General features: G+C 35.3%; 1 protein-coding gene across 4 annotated transcripts in view; it reads left to right on the top strand.

Annotated features, from left to right (window-relative positions):
* LPCAT2 (lysophosphatidylcholine acyltransferase 2) overlaps positions 1-24,670 on the top strand; it is a 77,595-nt gene that overhangs the window by 21,258 nt on the left and 31,667 nt on the right. For 2 of the 4 annotated variants that reach the window (NM_017839.5, XM_047434277.1), the window contains exons 5-11: positions 1,585-1,645; positions 2,495-2,553; positions 4,114-4,148; positions 7,249-7,303; positions 15,406-15,488; positions 18,948-19,073; positions 20,620-20,773. In NM_017839.5, the coding sequence (NP_060309.2) occupies positions 1,585-1,645; positions 2,495-2,553; positions 4,114-4,148; positions 7,249-7,303; positions 15,406-15,488; positions 18,948-19,073; positions 20,620-20,773 (573 nt within the window). Of the gene's footprint in view, positions 1-1,491; positions 1,535-1,584; positions 1,646-2,494; positions 2,554-4,113; positions 4,149-7,248; positions 7,304-11,508; positions 11,701-15,405; positions 15,489-18,947; positions 19,074-20,619; positions 20,774-24,670 lie in introns of those variants that run through there. The other 2 variants (XM_011523169.4, XM_005256006.4) reach the window with 2 other exon arrangements.

Genomic DNA, 24,670 nt, shown 5'->3' on the forward strand with positions numbered 1-24,670 from the left:
CAGTTATACTCAATATTGTGGTGGGTAAGTGATTAAGATCTTTAATCTCACCTGAAGTATATTTAGATAGTGCTTTTCAGTTCAAGGGGCATATCAAAATCACCTGTAGAACCTTTTTTCAAACTTTACCATCTCACCACTCCCTTCCCTGGAATGCGGGGGTGGGGGGGGGGTAACATTTACTGCAAAATAAGCCAAGGGTGATTCTAATAGTCACTCCTTTATCTTTGCCCAGTTGAAAACAACTCATCTCTAGCAGACTAATAGTCCTACAGTTATCTAGCCACACATGATGACATGAAGATGTTAAAGTCCAAGAGAAAGTATGTGACCAAACAGGTTGTTTTAGAAACCAAAGCATGTAAGGAGTGATTAAAAAGAGGATTGAGAATAGGTGGCATTGGGAGTAGGGTTTGATTTTTCTCTGTGGATCCAAAGACTATATCTAGGACTGGTAGATGGGAGATAACAAATATATAAATTTCAGCTCATTTTGCTCATCTTGAGGAACAACTTTCTGTCCAGAAGTGGAATGGTCTGATGTGGAATCCTTTTCTAGAATTTTCAGGCATTGGCTGAACTACCACTATTGTAGAAAGAAATCAAGCATTAGATATGCTAGGTGACTTTTAATGGCCCTTCCAGCTCTGAGATTTTACGATTCACTGTATACCCATTAATCGTTAGTAGTTTAGTTGTTGAATTTTCACTGAATAAAATATATTTGATATTGTATCCCGTTGTCATAGGAAACCCACTTTTAAACTGGAGAATGGAATTATATCCTTTCATAATTTTTATTTTATAAATAACCTGTTATTGTGGCAATGTAGCCCAATAATATTTTCCCTATCTAATTATCATAAAAACACTTTGCTAACTGCTGTGAGTGCAGGATGTTACTTTATTTTATTTTATTCACTTAGCAATTTATTCATGGCTAAATTTTAAAAGCATCAGAAAATTAAGTTGCTATTTTACTTAATGGGGAAACTAACGTACTGCATATCTTTTACTTTGAAAACATGAAGAAGTATGTTAAAAGCTAAAAACACTGCCTCAAAAAGAAAAAAGATATTAAGTTGTATTCCATATGTCAACTAATTCAAGTAAACATGAAGCACATTGTACACATATCTTTTTTCCTTTGTCCTCAAGACATGCCTGAACTATATGTTGTGGGAGTAAATATTAATGGGAAAACTGAAACAAAGTTGGAAATTATTTGGTTAAGGATATATAGCAGAAGAAAGAATTTAATGTAGCCTAATGCACACTTTGACCATGAATTATGCTCTACATCTTTTAAGTTTATTCAGATCATTAGTTTTATCATTAAGAGACATTTGTTAAGTATATTCTTTATTCAAAGCTTAAATCCATTTTCTAATTAAATTAGACAACACTTTCTTTACAAGAAAATTGAATAATCTGATAGTAGCTTTCATTAGAATCAAATGTTAGCCTTTTATTTTGTTTTTGTTTTTTAAGCATTGGCAGCTGTTTGTGAAGTCATAAGAAAGCGAGTAAAGAGGTAATTTATTAATTAGATTGAAATATTAAATCTATTCCTTTTTTCCCAAGATACTAGTTTTCCCAGAAGGTACTTGTACTAATCGTTCCTGTTTGATTACTTTTAAACCAGGTGAGAAAAATTAAATTATGTATTCTAACAAAGTAATATGTGAGATTTTGCAAATGATTTTATAGAAATACACAAAATAACTCTTTAGCTTGCTCTGAGCATTTTTTTCTTTTCTGATAGCAACTTTTTAACGTTGTGGATCCACAGAACTTACTGCTTTGCTTTCTCTTTTGGGGTCATAATTCCTCTCCCCTTGGAGTGTCCACTCCATGCATGTGCACTTAGGATGTGTGGCTGTGTGTGTGTTTGGGAACCCTCACGGACACATAAGGTTCTATGTCATCAAGTAGAAAACCTATCTCATTATCATTATAATGTCTTCAGATGCTTTCTAAGGTTCACCTCTTTTTTAACATTAGAAGTCAGTGAATGCAGCTTTCATTATAATTTTTAATACTTTAAAATGTTTTTGTATTAGCTGCCAGAATGCTCAGCAGCAAAGTTATGACTCACTTCTAGCAAGTGTGGTAGTTCTTGCTTCAAGCATTTGGTTTCATGTAGCTTTTCTTCTTATTTTTTCTTTGTCTTGATTTTATCATTACTTAAAACAATTCTGTTGAATATTAACACTTGGAAAATGAAAAAAAGTGGAGAAATAAATCAATGAATAAACAAATATTTTAAGTGGCATAGGCACAGCATTTAATATTTTGCTTCAGTAGTTCTTAATTAAAAAAAAAAAATCCCTCATTTTGGTAAGCACTAGGGATTTACCAACATTTAGCAAATGATTTCTGTTACACATACTCTTAAAATATTCAGTCTATTTATACTATTTATTAATTTTCTCTTTATCATAAAACTTTTATTCACATAAAAACACATTATAAACTTTCAATGTGGTTGCAGGAGCCTTCATTCCAGGAGTTCCAGTGCAGCCAGTCCTCCTCAGATACCCAAACAAGCTGGTAAGCACAGTATTTTACCACAGGAAGAATTTCAGTATTCCAAGTAGCACAGATTCTCTGGGACCCCTTTTAATATATAAATAAGGTTGTGAACAGATAAATGGTGGAAGCAAATGGGAGAGCTCATTCTGCTCGCCACATCTAGTTTTTAAAATTTTGCAAGATAGGCACATATCCATTGATACCAATATTAAATATTATTTTGCTATTACTGAACTTCAGGAAGATATTTTCTTAGCCTTTACTCTGTTGTCACCATGTTGGTGTGATTAATTCCCAGATTAGGGTCTCATTAGAATGAATAGTTAAAAATCTGTGATTTTCATTAACTCTAGAAAGAAATTTTTCCTGACTCAGTGGTCATTACTAGTGAAGAAGTATTGAAATAGCAGGATAAATATTAAAGAGGCTTGGTCTTTCATTACTGCCTCAGTACTTACTAATTGTGTGAGCCTTGGTAGTAAGTAACTTAATTAAATAAGAAAATACCTGAGAAAACTTAACATCTTTTTTTGTTTTTCGGGTTTTTTTTTTTTTTTTTTTTTTGAGACAGAGTCTTGCTCTGTCATCAAGGCTGGAGTACAATGGCGTGATCTTGGCTCACTACAACCTCCGCTTCCTGGGTTCAAGTGATTCTCTCCTTTCTCAGCCTCCCGAGTAGTGGGGATTACAGGCATGTGCCACCATGCCCGGCTAATTTTTGAATTTTTAATAGAGACAGGGTTTCACCATGTTGACCAGGCTGGTCTTGAACTCCTGACCTCAAGTAATCCACCTGTCTTGGCCTCCCAAAGTGCTGGGATTACAGGCATGAGCCACTGCATCTGGCCTAGCTTAACATATAAAGTCCAGAGTTGACTCAGGAAGTAGTCTCTTCTGTTCCAGTTGGGTACATTGTTGTCCTCTAAATATTGATTTTACCACCATTTTCCTAAAGAAAGATTTTTGAGGGAATGTTTTGGTTCTGAGAGGAACTTTCTTTACTAGAGAATTTATATTAAAAGCCAGGATATAATTATTAGTTATCTCTACTATTTAATATTAAGGGTTATTGATCAAATCAGTTTTCTATTTAGAGGCTGGTTTTTCAACCTTGGACATCTATGGTTAAAAAAAGAATTAAAATCTATCAAACTTTTATTTGTTGTACTTCTGCCCATAGGTTTGAGTTTATTGTATGTTCATATTATTTTATTTCCCCCAAATAAGCTTTTTTTTGAAAACGGATATATTCTGAGTTTTTTGTAATCAAATTAATTATCCAGATATGTTCATATTAGGAGAAAAGTGGCTAAGCATGTAAAATAGTTTTTAAAAAATTAAAACAAGTCATTTCATCAAAAGTTGTTGACATTAGGAAGATCTTTGCTATGTAGATATGTAATCCAAGAATTCATAGATCAGTTCACTGTTCTTTAACAATAATGTATTTATTTTACTTCTCAACATGTTGCTTTTAATTTCAGAAAAAATACATGAATCCCCATATTAAAATAAGATCTTTATTTTATTTAGTATTTTTCCTCCAGACCAACAGCTAAAATAATTTTGTTATTATAGGATACTGTGACCTGGACATGGCAAGGATATACATTGTAAGTCACTTATGTCTATTATTAGTTTATATAAATTTTATTTTAGTGAAGAAAAAGAAAGATCATTTATTCATTCTTTAAAAAAGTATTATTTTAAAAATATTGTTATATTTAAAAACATAAAGATTTCTGATCAGAGCCCTAAGTCTTATAACTGATAAGTCTCTGTAGAGAGCATCACTATCTTGACCACTAACCCCTGGAGTCTTCTGTGTGCAAAATTCTAGTCATCTGTCCCATTCAAATGGGTCTCAAGTGTTTGCTAGTTCGTAAGTGACCTAGTTTGCATCATAGTTAGCTTTAATTTTGTAGTTTTATTTCCATTGCAGATTTGGCATTATCTAGTGTCTCTATCCTTACTTACTATGTTGGTTTAAGCCATTCAGAAAAATTTAGTCATATGGCCTGAAATAGCTATGATGTGTCTGATATGAGTTGAAAAAATAGCTAACCAAGATTTCAGTTCTGCTCTTGGATTTGAAAAGCATTGGAATCAGCAGTTTCTATAAGCACTTTACTTAAGAGAGAAGAGGAATACAGTTTCATTATTAAGCAAGCTGATGTGAAGTAGGCCTTTAAAAAGAACAGAACATGTAGAAACTTGGTTTCTCTCAAGATCGTTTGTTTAGTTCCCTCTGAATAAGTCTGAGCCTGTTTAAATTTTGGTGAGAGCCGTATGAAATACCTGAATTTGAAGACTTCCTTTAGGGTCTTACCCAGTTTTCATATTGTTAAGCACAAAGCTCAGATAACATTGTTGATGGGTAGGTGACAATAACTTGGAAATATTTAAGGAAATCATCAGTTGCCTTAAGCACATTGTAGGCTTTTTTAGATAACTTCAACGTAATCCAACCAACTTCTGAAATCAAAACTGCATAATTTCTCCATTTTGTGTATATATACATTGCTTTGAAATAATAAATTTAAATCAGAATAGGTAACTGATGAGACAGTAGAATAAATATTAACACATATGAAACACTTATATTCTTGTTATGCTTCAGTCCTTGATAATTGAAGATACACAAATAACGCCAAACATAAAGAACATAAATTGTAAAGGATATCTAAACAGCATATTATCTTTCACTTACCAGGAAATCAATTTATTCATTTGACTAAAATACATGTTTCATGCCATTACTTATTTTGAATTCCTGATTGCTTTTAGACATGGAAGAATTGGGAGAAACAGGTAGTATGAAAGTATTTGGGAAAACGAAGTGCCTTAACAATGGATGCATAGCATACTTCCACTTTCTGAGGTGTGCCATCCTTTGGGCCTTTACAGGTTAAGTTCCTTACAGAGATAGTGATGTGGCCAATAGGACTTTTTTTGGTTGCCCAGCAGTCCAGGTTAATGTGATGATCAAATAGGAGAAAGCTTTTCTGGAAGAGGAACTGGGGATAGAAAATATAATAGACGGGTTTAGTTAATCTAGCCTTCTCAACTGAGAAGTATGTGAGAAGAGGAAAAGGAAATTAGGAGAAAGAATTCAGGAATGAAAGGGAGAAAAAATATTTTGAGAGTCAAAAATTTTTCAGGACTTTTAAACAAACACAAAATCTTTGAAAGGCACAGCTTTGTTTTGTTCAATCTATTGCAAATCTCACGTCCACTTTTGTCTTCTCATCTACTTAATATTATTAGCACTGTGTCTGTTACTTCTAAATCTGTTTTCTCAATTGCCCTTGCTCAAAGTGCTACTCCAGTTACAGATTCTAAGAAACAGATTTTATACCAAAACGAATATCCCAAGGAAAAGGAGACTTGGAATAAACTTAGAGAAGTTTTGTATCAGACTAAGAAGTATTTGGTCTGTCTGTAGGGTGGACAAGACAGGTTAAATGAGATTTTATGTGTGGTTTCATATTTTTCACAGTATTCAGAATTTTCAGAATAGAATGCATCTATTCAAGTAATTGAATTCCACAGCTCCATTTAAATAATTAAAAACAACTTATGCTAGATAGTGTGGATTGACTTTAGAGTTTATAGATAGTAAAAGATTTTTTTCTTTCAAATGGAAGATTTGTGAACTGACACATTAACAATTTATAATTAATTATGAAAGTGATATATCTACTTTCTAAATTATTTCTTTTAACTAAATTCTTAAGCTCCTACATTCCTTAAATAAGTTCCCTCAGGTAATTTTTACAGATAAATTATGTTTTAATTTCTTAACAGTGAAAAGAGATTGGTTGGTTCTTTTTTTAAATGTGTAGTTTAATCCATTCTGCCTGGTTTCTGGGTCAATTGTCTAATGAGACTAAACTAAAAATCCAGTAGAAGTCTTATCCAGAGAGTCTAAATATGTACTGGAAAGCTATAAGTAGGAACAACTATTTCAAACATTATCTTTTAGAGGGTTGCTTAACCACTTTAAAGACAGCATTTGCCTGCCTTTACAATGAAATTTGAAGCTTTTCAGATTTCCTCATAACTAAAACATTTATTAATAACTGGGACAATTTTGATAAAGCTTCCACTTTTAAGGAAAGGCCCATTGATTTTTTTTAATGTCAAAAAACAGTTCAGAAATGTAATGATCTACCTAGGAGTTTTATAAACACATTTACATACCTTAAAATGTGGCCTTGGGTAGTTTCTCTAGAGACTTGGGCCTTTGAGTCTGTGTTGTCAAGGAAACTTCAAATTTGTGGTTTAGTCTGTTGAGCTGAGGCTCTGACTGAAATACATATTTGGTATTCATTTGATGATTTAACTTTTGAATAATAATTGTCAAGAATACTTGTCTAAGCCGGGCACAGTGGCTCACACCTGTAGTCTCAGCTACTTGGGAGGCTGAGGTGGGAGGATCACCTGAGCCCAGGAGGTTGAGGCTGCAGTGAGCCGTGATTATGCCACTGTACTCCAGACTGGGTGACGGAGTAAGACCCTGTCCCCAAAAAAAAAAAAAAGAATAGTTGTCTAGGCCCAAAAAGTGTTATAGCTGCAGTGTAGCATTTATAAATGCAAAATATATGTGAAGTGTGATGTGAGGGTATTTGTGTATAAAGAAATGATTGTTGAATAATATAAGATGATACTTGCATGACTGTATAAAGATAGACTTTTCTTTTTTCTCTTCAGCATTCAGCTTTGTATGCTTACTTTCTGCCAGCTCTTCACAAAGGTAGAAGTTGAGGTAAGTCATTCAAAATGTGGCCTTGGAACTTGAGATTTGGCCTTTCCTTTAATTTTGAACCTCTAGTCTAGAGAGACCAGATATAAAGGTCCATCACCAGGTGTTTTACAAATTGTGTATATAAACCTAGGCTGTCAGATTTAGCCCTTGAAATCATGTTAGAAAACACCTCTAGATTCTGGGAACTTGAAACATGTAACCACCCTGGCTGGCCAGAGGGGCATCACCTTGCTCTCATCTTTTTACTCCTTTAATGCTGACCTCTGCCAAATTGAATGATATATTTTCACATCCTGACAAAAGGAACTGACCATAGCTGATAGAGCCCCACACCTCCTTAAAGAAAATGTTTTGTGAAAGCTAAGAGATGCTACTTGGGGTCTAGGGGAGAGACATAGAGGTCAGAAGCCTTCACTGTGAAATCACCCTGCACATGAAAAGCCCAAGGAAATTCTATCTGGGAGGCAGCACATATCATCATCCACAGGACAGTCTTTTGGTTTGAATTACAGTGGCAGGTAGTGAGAGAGGAGTTATTACAACATTCTGAAAATTTTGACCAGGTTTTTAAGGCTCTAAAGGTTGGTTCTAGAGCTGTTCTTAGTTTCTAGATATGATGTAGAGTAGAACCCTGAATTCAGCATCCAGTCGGTTTTAGCAGTACCCTCAGGTAGTCTCCGAAGAGAGATGGTTTGATAATGGGTCTCCTAGATTTTCTAATTGCATCCATGGATTGTGTAACGAAAACCTTAAGTTTGCCTGTGTCATGCAGAGTTCTGAGTGGGGTCTAGTGCCTAAGTGACAGGACTGTGGAATTTAATTCACAAGAATACTATTTTGCTTTGCTAGATAGCTTAGTGATTTGGCCATTTAGAGACTGTCAGTAATACCAAATGATTTAGGAGGGCAAATTACATTTCAGAATGAGTTTTGTGAAATTTTCTTGAGATTTGCATGTTTTCTGCCTGTCTTGAAAATATCTGTTTATTAATTATATTTCATACACCCCCACTTTTAAAACCAGTTCAGTTATCTCTCACTGTGGCCAAAAAAAAAAAAAAAAAAAAAAAAGAAAACCCACACTTGTTCTTGGGTTTTTCTTAGAGGTTCCTGGGGAACAAAAACTAATTTAATAACATTTGGAAGTATCAAGGGAAACAAAATGAATTTTTTTTTTCTCAAGACTACTCAGTGCCTTTGAAATGTCTGACTTACAGAACCTTTTTCTCTAGATATCTCCCGGAACCAGTGTTCTATAGAATACACTTCAGGAAGCCTTATATCATAATATTTCTAAATACTCTGAGCACTGCTCTTGCTTCTTTAATAGCTGCTCAGGTAGTCTAGGCCTGTTTCACTTTTCTAAAAAAACAAGAAAACTCATACTTTAAAAAAGCCATGCTATCTTCTCTGCAAGATATTGTCTCTTCCTCTCAATGTACCCCTCTGTAGCTAAAACAAGATCTAGCAACACATGTAGAAATGTATACAAAGCTGTCTTTTTTGCCATAGCATGTCAGTGGTCAAACTGCATTACAACAGAGGTATTCAGATTCCTCTTTTTTTTTTTGTCATGACCATTATTACCACATTTCCTTTCTGTGTCATGGCTTTCTTTTTTTTTTTCTGTCTTTTTTTTTTTTAATTACGATATTTGCATTCTCCAGCCAGTTCTGAGACCTGTTTGGATCATATTTTTCTGGCAAAGAAAACAATGTATTCTTTGTTCCATAACTTCACAAATAAAATGACTTTCAGCTGCTTGAAAATAGCCGCGTCGACAGAGATTTGATGAATTAGAATCGTAGTGCAGAACAAGAGGATGGGAATTTGTGGACTTCAAATTTAGTACAAATATTCTTATTTTAATTATGTTTACTTTAAATTTATGACTCCCCCTTTCACCCAGGTGACTCCTAAATACTTTATGATATTTTAATATTTTAATACTCACTGTTGGATTTAACTGAAAATGTATCCCAGCAGCCCTTCAGGCACTAAGTATACCACACCCTGGCTTGAAGCTCTGTAAGAGCTGGGCCATCTCTGAGGCTCCAGCTTTTCCACTACGTCTGCTGAGGCCCAGCTTGAGATTGGTTTGTGGTCTCAGTACATTTAGTTGCTCCAGTTTCAATTGTCTTGGTTGTTCTCAAGTAACCCCCTTTTTTCTTTTTTTTTAAATTGATGGAAATCCTTGTTACTATCTTATTTTAAACATGTTTTTAGAACTTCTTGAATATTAGGTAAACCTAATTCAAGATATATTATTCAAGAATATGGTATTAATTTTATGGTTTTTCAAATGAACTTTGAATGAATTATCAAAGTGCCGTTTTAGACAGTCTTGCTTTTGTGAGTCACATGACACCCCATTATGTTGGCTGCCATATCCTTTAGTTTCACAAGTCTCCCCTCAGTAATCATGACTACCAAAGTCTTTAATTACCAAAATCATTAGATATCTAAGATATAATGAGTCTAATATTTAGGAATATTTTCTTACCACCTCTTCCCAGCCCTCTCTGCTTCCCAACATAGAGACATACAGTATTTTTGAAAAGGTTATTATTTTCTCGACTCTTGGATCTTAAAAATATAGTTAGTTCTAAACCTCATGTCCTGTGTAATTGTTCTTCTGGCATCCTTGAACAATGATGAAGTTGTCTGTCTACAGAATGGTTCTACTAAAAGTTATTCTTTGAATTCTAATGTGGCATAATGGGTGTTCTTAAAGTATCTTTTAGTCATACTTTTATTAACCAGCTGTTTCACAAGTATCCCTTTATAAGGATATGGCTTAGGGCATAGGGAATGAAATAGCTAGTAGGAAACATTACAAAATGTGACATGAATTAAGAGTCTGTTAGTTTATCTCATGAGAGAGAATACATGCTATGTCACACTATAAAGCACTAAGTGGGCCGCAGCTAGTTTATGAATGGAAACAAGCCATTTACACTGACTGTGCAGTCAGTTTCCTTCATAGGCTATATCTCAGTTTGCATTAAAAGCGTGTTGACTTTAGAAGCCATTTAGTATATATTATAGATAAATAAAAATTGTCTGTAGTGGGCATATTAGATATATAATAAGTCCCCCCTTATCTGTAGGGGATATGTTCCAAGACCCCCAGTGAATGCCTGAAACTGCAAGAAATACCAAACCCTATATATACTAACTTTTGTCCTAAACACACATACCTCTGATAAAATGTATTTTATAAAATAGGCACAATAAGAGATTAACAGTGACAACTAATAATAAAATAGAACAGTTGTAGCAATATAGATAAGAGTTGAATGTGAATGTGGTCTCTCTCTCTCTGTCAACATCTCATTGTACTATATTCATCCCTCTTCTCCTTGTGATGAAGAAAGAATAGAGAAGGATAGCATGAAATGTTATCACCCTACTCAGAATGGCATGCAATTTAAACTTATGAATTGTTTATTTCCAGAATTTTTCATGTAATGTGTTTGGACCATGGTTGACTGTTGGTAACTGAAACCACGGAAAGCAAAATCCCAGATAAGGGAGACTATTGTGTTTTCTTTAGGAAAATTCCTTTAAAAGCTTATAGTGAGCTTATAGTGGCTAGCATTAGGCCTAAAATACTCTGTTGTGGGCTTTTCATTTCCTTAAAGTAATAGAAAGGTTTGTTTTTTTAATTTAAAAAGAATTTCTGATTTAGGGAAAGATTGCAATTAATAATGAGTATTATGATCAACAGCTACATGTACATATCACTTTTAAGATCTTTAGAGAGCTAATTACTTAGGGAAGATTCAAAGACATTTATATAGTTTATTTAAGTATCCAAATGCACTACAATTATTTGTAGTTTTTAATCTAAAATGAGCCTTTTAGAAAACCTCAATCATACAACTACACACACACACACACACCCTACATATATACTTGTTCTAACAAAGCTAATTTCTTCTGGAACTTGGTAAAATTCTGGAATTTGTGAATACTAATAGAGAAATAAAAAGGGTATTAACTAGAGTTTTTGTTCTAATCCTGTTACTACCTACCTGTATGTACTTGAGAAAATTAAACCTTTCTAAGCCTGCATTCTCACTGACAAAAATGGGGATAATGACAGAAAATTTATAGAGTTTTGAGGAGTAATAAAGTTACTTATGTGCTGGCACATAGTAAGTGTTCAATAAGCACTAACTTTTACTTTCTGTCTCATCTAGATGTTTCTGTTCTTTTGGGAAGGAAGCAGCAAGCATTGTTTAAAAATATCTTCCTTCTTTTGCATTTTTTCTCTTCGAAGATTTAAAAGAAGAATTACACAAAGAACTAGAACTGCACATTTGTTAAGATTGTCCTTTTAAAATTATTTTCTGTTACAAGGAAAAAATAAAAGATTGATTATAGTGTCATAATTCTTCAATCTTCCTCATCATTTTTTTAGTAGAAAGGAATGTGCTTGATGTAGTCAAGAAAAAATGAATAAACTAGCTTTAGTGATACTGAGAATCTATGTAAGTGACTGGCTTTGGTTGATGGATGTCTTAAATAGTAGGCTGAAGAATTTTATATATTGCTTGTATGCTAAGGACCAAGAGGAAGTGGGGGACTCTGGGACCAAAAGCACAAATGAGATGTTAACCTGAGAAACATGTCGCTTAGTCTCCTCCTCATCTGGGACAGGATGGTGCAAAGTTAAGTATGGGGAAGGTACAGAGAATACTGTATTTGAAAGGAGAGGGGAGTGGAGCTGTGAAGCCAATTTCAGGTGCAATAGAAGGGAATACATTCACATAAGCTGTCTTCTTTATAAAGTTGAAAGTGAAGTACCATTTGTACCTCACAAGAGTGAGGTAAAAGTGGAATTGCAACTTGAAAAGCATGGAACATATGTAACATTTTTAGCATCTCTCAGTGGTCCCTAACAGGAATATGAAGGCAAGATCAGGAGAGGTGGCTGAGGATGTGTGATTGGCACTGTGGGCATGGCAGAAGTGAAAGATTCTAAGTAACAGGTCATACAGAAGTATCCGACTCCCAAGTCCAGTGTAGATAGTCAGGGAGATGTTGCCAGAGGGAGTGGATAAAGAGGGATGATTGATCCAGATGTGACCATTAGGTTGTCATGGTCTATGCAAGACCAGATTAGGGAAGAAATAAACACTAATGGATAATGAGGGGAAACTGAAGAACTTAGCAGAGATTAGAGTCATAAGTTTGTTTCCATGGCTGAGGTAGAGTCTAGAAGAATATCTGTGGCAAGATGTCAAGTGAGTCATCAATGTGAGTAATGAGGATACTGAGAGAAGATGAAGTTAGAAAGGAAAACTTGGGGGCTTGAAGTCATTGGGGTATATAGATGTCTGTTGGGAACCATAAAAGATAGTGGCAATCATGTTCACCTCTCTTTGATTGATTTTCCTTTCCAAATAAAGGATACATTCATACTGTGAGCCTTGAATGACTGTACAAAATGGAAATGTGATATAGAGGGCAAGGTCTTATTCTAGGAGAGGTGACTTTTTATTAGAATTTCCATTGAATTGCTTCTTAGGAGGAATGGGGCCTCCAAGGCCCATGGGTGTCAAATTTAGGATTTTAATTATTTTGTACTCTCAGTGGAACTTTATTCCTTAAGAATAAGATGTCACGCCAATATGAGAGTTATTAAAAATCATTTTATGAAAAATACTACCTGCACTAATATAAAACCAAACCTGTATTTCATTGTATTATGTTTGGTTAACAGTGTAGCAGCAATTTATTTTTCAAGGTTTTCAGTATGACCTTTTATGACCTAAATCAAGTGTATTACAAATGGTTGTTTGACTTTTTTAAAAAATGAAGAATTATATGGCAATTAAAAACTTTAATTTCTTACACTGTTTTGTTAGAGATTTTATGAACATTAATTTCAACTTACTGTTTTTTTCTTGGATTTTATACTAAGCAAATACAAGAAATTTTACTAGATCAGGATGCAGGGAATTTTTAGAAATATTTCTTTGCCAAGATAGTTATTCTAGATATATAAGGATGTGGGGACCTCTGGTGGCTTAGTTTATTTTTCTATCTTAAAAAACAACTATGCAAAATAGAGAGCCACACACAGAATTCCAATGGGAAGGACTTCAGAGATCGTTTAGTTAAATTTTTTCATTTGACAGGAGAGGGCACTGAGGCTCATAAAGGCTAAATGACTTTTCCAGGATCACACGGCAGATCTCAAGCAGCAACCCAGTCCAAGAACACTTTCTGCAGCTTGCAGCTGCCCCCTTAGAGAGGAAATAATCAGATAAATGTGAAAAGTAAATATCCTGTAGCACATTATTCTATAATTCCATACATTTTATCTTAAAAAGGCAACTTGCATCCATGCCATCCTCCACATCCTCACTCCCTCTACTCAAGGTCTTATTATCTCTCCCATGATTGCAGCTGCTTCCAGACATTCTCCCTGCTCTTAGTCTCTTCTTTGGTGCATACACTCCTTACCGCTGAAGTTACCACTTAAAAACTTGGACCTGGTCATGTCATTCCCTTGCTTAAATGTCACCTCTGAGATACCAATGCTTACAGTTTTCTTAATATGATTGACAAGACTTGAAAACAGGTCCATTTGGAAAAAAATGGTATTTTTAACTACTTCTAGTTGCATTCTTTATTTATCAAATGGAAGTGGTAAGATTTACCTCAAGGAATTGTTTAGAGAGTTAATCATATAAAGCCCCTAATATAAAATACCCAGCACACAGTAGATGTTTAATGGATGGTAACTCTTATTGGTGGATTTAGCTCACTGTTTCATAAATTTCTACCCTACTGAATGGAGAGCTTCTTGAGGGCAGGGACTTTGCTGTCATGTTTGTAGGGCTTAGTGCAGTGCCTGAGCACCTACTATGGGGGAAAAATTAATGAAATAAAATAACGTATGTAAAACACCTAGCATGATGCCTGGTTTGTAGTTATAATTCAATAAACAGTAACTATTGGCAAAATCTCACTTATTCTTAAAAAGCCAACATCAAGTATTAGTTCTTCTATAGAGCACCCTTAACAGAATTAGCTTTCCTGTGTGCACTCTCTCCCTAGGCACCACCTTCCTCTTTGGCTGCATTTCCCTGGCCCCTGACAAAATTAATCCTTTCCTACCTCTTGCTCTCATACTCCAGGAAGGATGGTTAGTGGAGAAAATAAGGGTTTTTTTTGAATCTGACAAATCTTGGGCTGAATTCTGGCCATGTGACTTGCATGCCTTTAGGTAAGTTAATTAAGCTATTGAGCCCCATCTATAATTGGGGGTAATAAGGGTAATGACACTTAGCATATGGGGTTATTAATGTGTTGTTCTATACTATTAAAATATTGATCTTCTTTAGAGCAGGAAATAGGGTCCTATTAATCTTGCCTGGTATATAGTAGGTGCTGAAAAATACGTAATAACTTGAATATGGCACTAAAACCTTGTTAATGTCAGGAAACCATAAATAAAAACAAGAACAATACAATTGAGGCATCACAGAACATCAAGTGGAGAAAAAGTAGAATTAAAAATGCTAAAGCAAAAAATGGTGTTAAGCAAAAAAGCTGTAAAGCCAATACTAAGAGTTTTTTTAAAAAGCAGAATAAATGACAAAACATAAAGTTCAAACAAATAGTAAAAATATGGTTGACATTAGAATGGATAGAGAAGATGAAAGGCAAAGAGAAAAGAAAAAAAAGTTTTCACATAAAGGGATGGGAGTTTCACATAAAGGGATGAGAGTGGTAGAAAATGCAGCTCGAGGAGAAAGATCTTAGTAGCTACAGCTTTACACTTCCAGAATTCCAGACACTGACTTGTTTCACCCTCACAATCACCAGGGAAGTAGTGATCTTAGCCCTCTTTTTAGAGTTGAAATGGTTCATCAAAGTTAAATGACATACTAGTTAACACACAAGCAGACCCAGGGCTTAGAAACAGATCTCCTGAGTACAAGCCCAGTGCCCCATTACCTCATATAACCTATGTTCTAGAAAGGTAGATGATTCAATATATTGATAATGTATAAATTAATTTACTTGGCATTTAATGTCTTAGGCTTAAGACATTGTTATGGAAAGGTATATTTGTCTTTCAGTTTATGCCAGTTCAAGTACCAAATGATGAAGAAAAAAATGATCCTGTCCTTTTTGCCAATAAAGTCCGGAATTTAATGGCAGAGTAAGTGTCTATATTTGATTATAACTCATAAATAATTTGAAAATTATTTGTGCATGTCGTTTAACTCATTTTAAGGATTTTTTTTTGACCCCTGAAGGCCTCGTTCCCCAATTCATTTTGATACGTAAAATAATGTGCCCAGGGATGAGGTCAGTATAACAATCTATAAGTATTTTCCCCAGCTGCATACCACAAATAAGGAAATATATCTTTACCAGAAAGACTGGAGAGGATACAATAACCAGAAAAGACCAGTTAGTGCCTTGCACAGGGTGGATTCTCCTAAGCTGGCCCGCCACTGTCAGATGAGCCTTGTGATGATCTCAGTGGTTCCTGCCGTGGCCCACCTTCTATCCCTTCGACTATAGCACCAAAAAAGAGAAAGTTTGCAATGCAAAAAGAGATGCATAGAAGAGGGAAAAAGTCACCTCTTCATGGATGGCTATAAAATAGGATTTAGAAACTATAAAACATAAGGTTAATATTTTCCTGCACATAAGGGAGTTCTAACTGGCCATTATTCTGACTAGATAAATCACCCCCTATCTTGTAATGAAAGAATGTATTATACTATACCACCACCCAGGTAGCCTCAGAGCCCTCCAGGTGTGCATCCTCTTCCCACACACCACCTCTGTCATTCCCAGTAGTAGGTTTGGAGCTAATAGACCAGCAGTGTTTATTGTCTTAGTAAAAATTCAATGAGAACTCTGAATTTAGCTTCATAGCTGAATTTAGCTTTATAGCCAGATTTCATATATATATAGCCAGCCATGTATATGTGTATATGTATGTGTCTCTATAAGTATATGTTTTATTCTAATATATGTATCTTAATATTTTTCTGCAGAATAACTATTTTCAAAATAGAATAAATGTTTGGCAAAAAATTTGCTATTAAGTGTATATAGATGTGCTTGTTTTATCTAGTTTCTAGATCAGCTACAAAGTTAGTTTTTATGTTTTCTTCTCTTCCTTTCTTATGTTTTCATGCCAGCTTATATCCAAAAGGTAGAAAGCAAGATAATTATTAGAAATTGAGAGAACTGGGCTGGGCGCGGTGACTCACACCTGTAATCCCAGCACTTTGGGAGGCCGAGGTGGGTGGATCACAAGGTCAGGAGTTCGAGACCAGCCTGGCCAACATGGTGAAACCCCGTCTCTATTAAAAATACAAAAATTAGCCAGGCATTATGGCAAGCGCCTGTAATCCCAGCTACTCAGGAGGCTGAGGCAGGAGAATTGCTGGAACCTGGGAGGCAGAGGTTGCAGTCAGCCAAGTTTTCATGCCACTGCACTCCAGCCTGGGCGACGAGTGAAACTCCGTCTCAAAAAAGAAAAAAAAAAAATTGAGAGAACTTATATCAGATATTTTGGCTTCCCAAATTGTGCTTAGAAACAAGAGAAGGGATTTGTTTAGACAGCCTTTTTCTGAATTCAAAGGTGCGGAGGTAATAATGACTTGTGATAAAAAGTAAGAAAAACCTTGATTAGCTGCACAACTTTGGACAAGTCTCCTCCAAATCCCCTTCTCCTCACATGTGAAATGGGAGTTAAAATCATTGCCTTGCCTTTCTCATGGTTTTGATTATTAGGAGACTCAAGTAGGAAAGTATATGATAAAAGCATTGGAAAACACAAGTACTGTGGTAGGCCCTCAACTTAAGTTATTTAACATTATCTTTACATCAACTCTATGATATAAGTAAGAAAGCTGACTTGGGGAGGTGAGTAGTTTGCCCAAAGTCACACTAGGTAGTGACTGTCTGGGCTAGAACTCAAATCCACATTTCCTGTTACCAAAGCCCAAGCTGTTAACTATTATACTGTACTATTTATTGTTATAAGTCCCAAAATATTTTAAAATTTAATTTTCCATCTTATATATTCTTATACCAAAACACTTATTAATCAAAGAGCTTAGAAAAAATATTTTAGATAGAAATTTTTTTTTTGTTTTTTGTTTTTTTGAGACAGTCTTGCTCTGTCACTCAGGCTGGAGTGCAATGGTGCAATCTCGGCTCACTGCAACCTCCGCCTCCTGGGTTCAAGTGATTCTCCTGCCTCAGCCTCCTGAGTAGCTGGGATTACAGGCGCCCACCATCATGCTCAGCTAATTTTTGTATTTTTAGTAGAGATGGGGTTTCGCCATGTTGGCCAGGCTGGTCTCGAACTCCTGACCTCGGGTGATCCGCCTGCCTTGTCCTCCCAAAGTGCTGGGATTACTGGCGTGAGCCACCGCACCTGGCCAAAAAAAATGTTTTATTCTGATTGTATTCATTCAAAATTTAATGTTTCTAGCAATGATTCAACAAAATCCAGTACAGCTTAAAGACATAATTTTATGGTTTTCACTGAATATTTGTGAATAAAAATTTAGTGAAGAGGAATGTTTATCTCATGTACTGCACCTTTTTTTTTGGTATTCGGTGTTTTTCCAGTTCTTATAAATATGTATTTTTTTCAAATCTAATTCACTATCATTTAATTTGTGAGTAGTGAAGTAGGAACTAGGAGTTATACTTTCCCTTAAGGATGGAGGATGTTTAGGTTTAGAAGAAATATCTTTTGCTTCAGTATTTTTGGAAGATTGCTATGTAGCAAGAAGGTGATCTCTAGCTATAAAAGATGAAAAACATAGACAGCTAGTAATTTGGATAGATTGTTTACTTACACTATATACAAATGCCATTTATCTGTTTATTTTATTTTATTTATTTTTTGATATGGGGTTTCCCTCTGTCACCCAGGCTGGAGTGCAGTGGTGCAGTCTCAGCTCACTGCAACCTCTGCCTCCTGGGTTTAAGCAGTCCCCCTGTCTTAGCCTCCTGAGTAGCTGAGACTACAGGTGTGCCTCACGTAATTTTTATATTTTTAGTAGAGATGGGGTTTCACCATGTTGGCCAGGCTGGTCTCAAACTCCTGGCCTCAAGTGATCTGCCTGTGTTGGGTTCCCAAAGTGCTGGGATTACAGGTGTGAGGCACTGTGTTCGGCTCCATTTATCTGTTTAAACAGTACCCTCCACAGGCATTCTTTTTTTGTCCTTACTATAACCATTTGGAATAAGGATAGTATTCACTCCTATGTACAGATGAGAAAAGTGAGGCTTCATCCACAGCTGGTGAAAAACTCCACTAGGACTTGAACCTAAGTCTTCTAATTACTTTCCATGAGACTGAAGGCAACTATTATTATTATTATAGTTAAAACACAAAGCAAATATTATCAGCTACACATACAGAAGCATGTAGATATAAGGAGATTAACTTGATCCTTAGTAAGTCTGTGAAGAAATGGAGAAACATGTCTCTTTGTCAAGAAAAGCGAGAGTTACTGGTTTAAAAAGTAGTAAATACTTTTTCATTTGCTGTCGTTTGGAACCAGTTAAAGCCTAGTGAAATATGATTACTTTTTTTTTTAAAAAAAATGAATTTTAGTTTGCTTCTTAATACTTTTAGAGCTCTGGGAATACCAGTAACAGATCATACCTATGAAGACTGCAGATTGATGATTTCAGCAGGACAGCTAACATTGCCTATGGAAGCTGGGCTGGTGGAATTTACTAAAATTAGCCGAAAATTGAAGTAAGTGTATTTTAAAATGACTACACTTTCATAAAGTTGTCCAAAAGGGATCTGAAATCCTGTTTATTTTCTCCTGCTTTATTAATGCTCAGCTCTAGTTCCCATTTGGTGTATATTAGGAAAGTCAGAGTTGAGAATTTATCTCACATTTTATTCATCTACTTTTGCTTTTTCAAGAACAGTTAACTCAGAGATATGTGCATTGGTCACAGGAGGAGACCAAGGGATAATAAATGTGGATCCACACAGATCTGCCTCCCTACTCAGAGGGAGTTAGTGGCTCAGAGAAGTTAGTCCTGCCACCTTCTTACAAGGACAGCATCATTAGATGATACTGGCATGTGGTAGTCAGAACTTCACATGTGAAACATGAATTGATTTGTATAGTTGCAATTCTTACCACCACTGAACATTAAATACTTGCCCTAGATCTGCCTTTTTTTCTGGATACCTATTTTTTAAAAAAAAGGCAAAAATCTTCTTCCTGCTCTTTTGATCTAGTTTAAACCATTGAGAACATTCTTGTTGAGCTTTTCGCTATAAAAGGTGTAACCCTCAACCTCCCTCTACCCTTACTGCAGTTCATTCTGTTCTCAGCCCTAACTGGAATTTGCAGAATTTATTAATTAACATCCTGTCTATGAAGGAGCTGAAGAACCAGTTACTATATCAAAGTTCAGTATTAAAGTATAATATTTTGATAACTGATATAGAAAATATTATTTATATTGTAAGATAATAAAAATGTTTTGCTTTTGTTTGCATATTATAGTTACAATGTTCTGTAGATTTAAAAAGTTTAGTTAGTCACTGAAATTGGGCTAAGAATATATGTTAGGTCATTAGTTTAATTCAACAAAGCAAAGATAGGCTATGATGTAAGCTACAGTACATTTTCCAGTGTTTTATCACCGTAGTTTTTCATAACTAATCTTGGAGGACATGTGTATAGTCTAATGAATCCCCCTATCATAACATTTTGTGAAATATGAATTCATTATCAGCCTGAAAGCTTCTTGAAAGCAAGAATTGTTATTTCATCTTTAAAAACTTAATACAGACTATGGACTCACTAAGTAATGTTTAGATTTAAAATATTTGCTTTCTTATTTTCTTCTCATGAATAATTTATTATTCCACTACAATGTTCTTCTTTTCATATACTTTTCTTTCCCTGAGATATTTGAGATAATTGTTAGTTATACAAGTATCCTTTAAAAGATTAAATGCGGGCCGGGCGTGGTGGCTCACACCTATAATCCCAACACCTTGGGAGGCCGAGGCAGGCGGATCACGAGGTCAATAGATCGAGACCATCCTGGCCAACATGGTGAAACCCCATCTCTCCTAAAAAATACAAAATAAAAGATTAAATGCCTGCATATATGTTGAATATGTGCTTTTAAGTACCTATTTTATTCTCCTTTACAAATTTAACACTTAAAATATTTTTCTCCCAGATACATTAATAAAATAATGATCATAAAATGTGCATGTGAATTGTAAAGGGCTAATAACATGTATCTATAATTCTTTGTTTGTTTAGATTAGATTGGGATGGTGTTCGTAAGCATTTGGATGAATATGCATCTATTGCGAGTTCCTCAAAAGGAGGAAGAATTGGAATTGAAGAATTCGCCAAGTATTTAAAGTTGCCTGTTTCAGATGTCTTGAGACAACTTTTTGCACTCTTTGACAGGGTATGTTAAAATTTAATCTTTCACATTTTTACTCTGTCAGTCCTACAGTGAGTAAATCAATATGGTAGGCAATTTGAAAAACTTGATAGGTCAGTGTTAGAAGAATCAAGGCTGAGCCTATGGTTTAATTGCATGATTTTGTTTTTTTCTCCTTAATAGTAATATTAATAATTGTGTGTGTGTATTGTAACATTTATTATACTGTCATATATAATAAAATATCATATCATATCATATCATATATATATCTATTATTTTAGTGTAATATGATATAATGTATGTATCTATTATTTTAAATACCAGGTCAGAAATAAATATTGTGACCATATAACCACATTTGTGGTATGGAACTGGAAGAGTTTATATCATTGGCAGGAATTTTAAAATTTATATCAAAACTCATACATTGATGACATGGGTGTTTAGAATTTTATTCTGAAGGTTTTAGACTTCCACAAACCTGTATGAAGACCAAATAGATTTTTATTTTCAAGTGACATTTTGTAACAAAGATTTTAATTAAAATCTGGCCATTTGCCATTATATTAGGGATACAGTTTGCTGCTTATGAATATTTAAGGACATGCAATTAGATAATTGAACTGTCAAAAAGTTTCCCTAGGAAAACTGTTCACAACTTCAGGTTTTCTATTTTTTAATTTGTGTTTTAATATATAAAATTGATAGTATACAGAAATTAGCCAGGCATAGTGGTGCACACCTGTAATCCCAGCTACTCAGGAGGCTGAGGTGGGAAGATCACTTGAGCCCAGGAGGCGAGGTTGCAATGAGCCAAGATCATGCCACTGCATTCCAGCCTGAGCAACAGAGCAAGACCCTATTCTCAAAAAAAAATTGATAGTAAAATGCACTCTTTTGGTTACAGTTCTATGAATTCTAACAAATGCACAGAAGCATGTAACTACCACTGCATTCAAGATACACAACAGTTGAAAAAATATATATATTTTCTTGCAGCTATTCCATTTGTAGTCAAGCCCTTCCCCCAGTTTTAAGTCCTGGCAGCCAGTGATCTGTTCTCCATCAATATAGTTTATCTTTTTCCAGATGTCATATAAATGGAATCATACAGTATATAGTTTTTTGAGTATGGCTTCTTTCACCAAGTATAATGCATTTGAGATCCAGGCATGGTGTTTTATAGATCAATAATTAATTCCCTTTCATTGCTGAGTAGTATTCAATTGTATAGATGTACCATAGTTACTTTATCTATTCCCTAGTTGAGGAATATTTGGTTTGTGTACAGTTGGGGGCAAATGTGACTATAGCTGTCATTCTAAGAATTTGTATATAGGTTATTATATAAATGTAGGTTTTCATTTCATTTTACTTGGGTAAATACTTAAGAGTAAGAACCCTTTGTTTTATCTTATTTGAGAATTACCTTGTTTTGCATTCATTCTGAAGGATATTTTTGTTGTACAGGCAGGTCTTAGAGATGTTTGGGGTTTGGTTCTAGCACTGCAATAGAGGGAGTATCACAATAAAGTGAGCCATATGCAGTTTTTGTTTTCCCAGTGCATAGAAAAGTTTATTTATAATATACAGTAGTCTAGTGAGTATGCAATAGCATTATGTCTAAATAAACAATGTGTATACCTTAATTTAGAAACCCTTCACTGCTAAAAAATGTGAGCAATCATCTGAGCCTTCAGCAAGTTGTAATCTTCTTGCTGATGGATTGTCTTGCCTCAGTGTTGATGTGTGCTGACTCATCAGGATGGTAGTTGCTGAAGGCTGGGCTGGTTGTGGCACTTTAAAAAAATAAGACAACAATGAAGTTTGCTGCATTGATAGACTCTTCCTTTCATGAAAGATTTCTTTGTAGGCTGGGTTCAGTGGCTCATGCCTGTAATCCCAGCAGTTTGGGAGGCCAAGGTGGGTGGATTTCCTGAGGTCAGGAATTTGAGAACAGCTTGACAGTTGAACAGGTGAAACCCTGTCTCAACTAAAAATACAAAATTAGCTGGGCATGGTGGTACATGCCTGTAATCCCAGCTACCTGGGAGGCTGAGGCAGGAGAATTGCTTGAGCCTGGGAGGCAGGGGTTGCAATGGGCCGAGATCATGCCATTGCACTCCAGCTGGGCAACAAGAGCGAAACTCCATCTCAAAAAAAAAAAATTATTTTTGTAGTATTCGATGCTATTTTGTAACATTTTACTACAGTAGAACTTCTTTCAAAATTGCTGTCAGTCCTCTCAAACCCTGTCATTGCTTTATCAACTAAGTTCATGTAACAGTCTAAATCAATTGTTGTCATTTTAACAATGTTCACAGCATCTTCATCAGGAGTAGTTTCCATTGCAATAAACCACTTTCTTTGCTCATCTATGAGAAGCATCTTATCCATTCAAGTTTTATCATGAGATTGCAGCAATTCAGTCACATCTTCAGCCTCCATTTTTAATTCTAGCTCTCTTGCTATTTCCACATCTGCATTTACTTGCTCCACTGAGGTCTTGAGCCCCTCAAAGTCATCCATAAGTGTTGTAATTGGCTTCTTCCAAACTCCTGTTAATATTGATATTTTGACCTCCTTCTATGAATCATGAATGTTCCTAATGGCTTCTAGAATGGTGAATCTTTTCCAAAAGGTTTTCAATTTACTTTGCCCAAATCCACCAGAAGAATCACTAGCTATGGCAGCTATGGCCTTACAGCATTTCTTATGGCAGCTATAGCCTTATAGCATTTCTTAATAAGGCTTCAAAGTTGAAATTACTCCTTGATCTATGGGTGGCAGAATGGATGTTGTGTTAGCAGGCATGAAAACAACATTAGCCTATTTCTATATCTCCATCAGAGCTCTTGGGTAACTAGGTGCATTCTCAGTGAGCAGTAATATTTTGAAAGGAATCTTTTTTTCCTGAGCAGTAGGTCTCAACAATGTTCTTAAAATAATCTTTAAATCATCCTATGAACAAATGTGCAGTCATCCAGGCTTTGTTGTTCCATTTATAGAACACAGACAGAGTAGATTTAACATAATGTTTAAGGGCCCTTGGATTTTCAGAATGGCAAGTGAGCATTGACTTCAACTTAAAGCCACCCACTGTATTAGCCCCTAACAAAAGGATCAGCCTGTCTTTTGAAGCCTTGAAGCCAGGCATTGATTTCTCTCTAGGTATGAAAGTCGTAGATGGCATTTTCTTTCATTAAAAGGCCATTTCATCTGCATTGTCATCAATTATCTTAGCTAGATTTTCTGGATAACTTGCTGCAGCTTCTCCATTAGCACTTGCTGCCATACCTTGCACTTTTATGTTATGGAGACAACTTCTTTTCTTGAACCTCATGAACCAACCTCTGCTAGCTTCAATCTTTTCTTCTGCAGCTCCCTCACCTCTCAGTCTTCACAGAATTGAAGAGAGTTAGAGCCTTATTCTGGATTAGGCTTTGGCTTAACAAAATGTTGTGGCTTTGACCTTCTATCCAGACTATTCAAACTTTCTTCATAACAGCAATAAGACTGTTTCACTTTCTTATTATTTGTGTGTTCACTGGGGTAGCACTTTTAATTTTCAAGAACTTTCCTTTGCATTCACAACTTGGCTGTTTGATGCAAGAGACCTAGCTTTTGGCCTGTCTGGGCTTTTGACATGCCTTCCTCACTAAGCTTAATCATTTCTAGCTTTTGATGTGAAGTAAGAAATATGCAACCATTTATTTCACCTGAACACTTAGGGGCCGTTGTAGTGTTATTACTCGGCCTAATTTCAGTATTGCTGTGTCCAGGGAACAGGGAGGATCAAGGAGAGGGAGCAAGACTGGGAATGGCCAGTCAGTCCATGGAACAATCAGAACACACACATTTATCAATTAAGTTTGCCATCTTACATGGGCAGAGTTTGTAGTGCTCCAAAACAATTAT

Source organism: Homo sapiens, chromosome 16, assembly GCF_000001405.40.
Source record: "Homo sapiens chromosome 16, GRCh38.p14 Primary Assembly".
Lineage (NCBI taxonomy): Eukaryota > Metazoa > Chordata > Mammalia > Primates > Hominidae > Homo > Homo sapiens.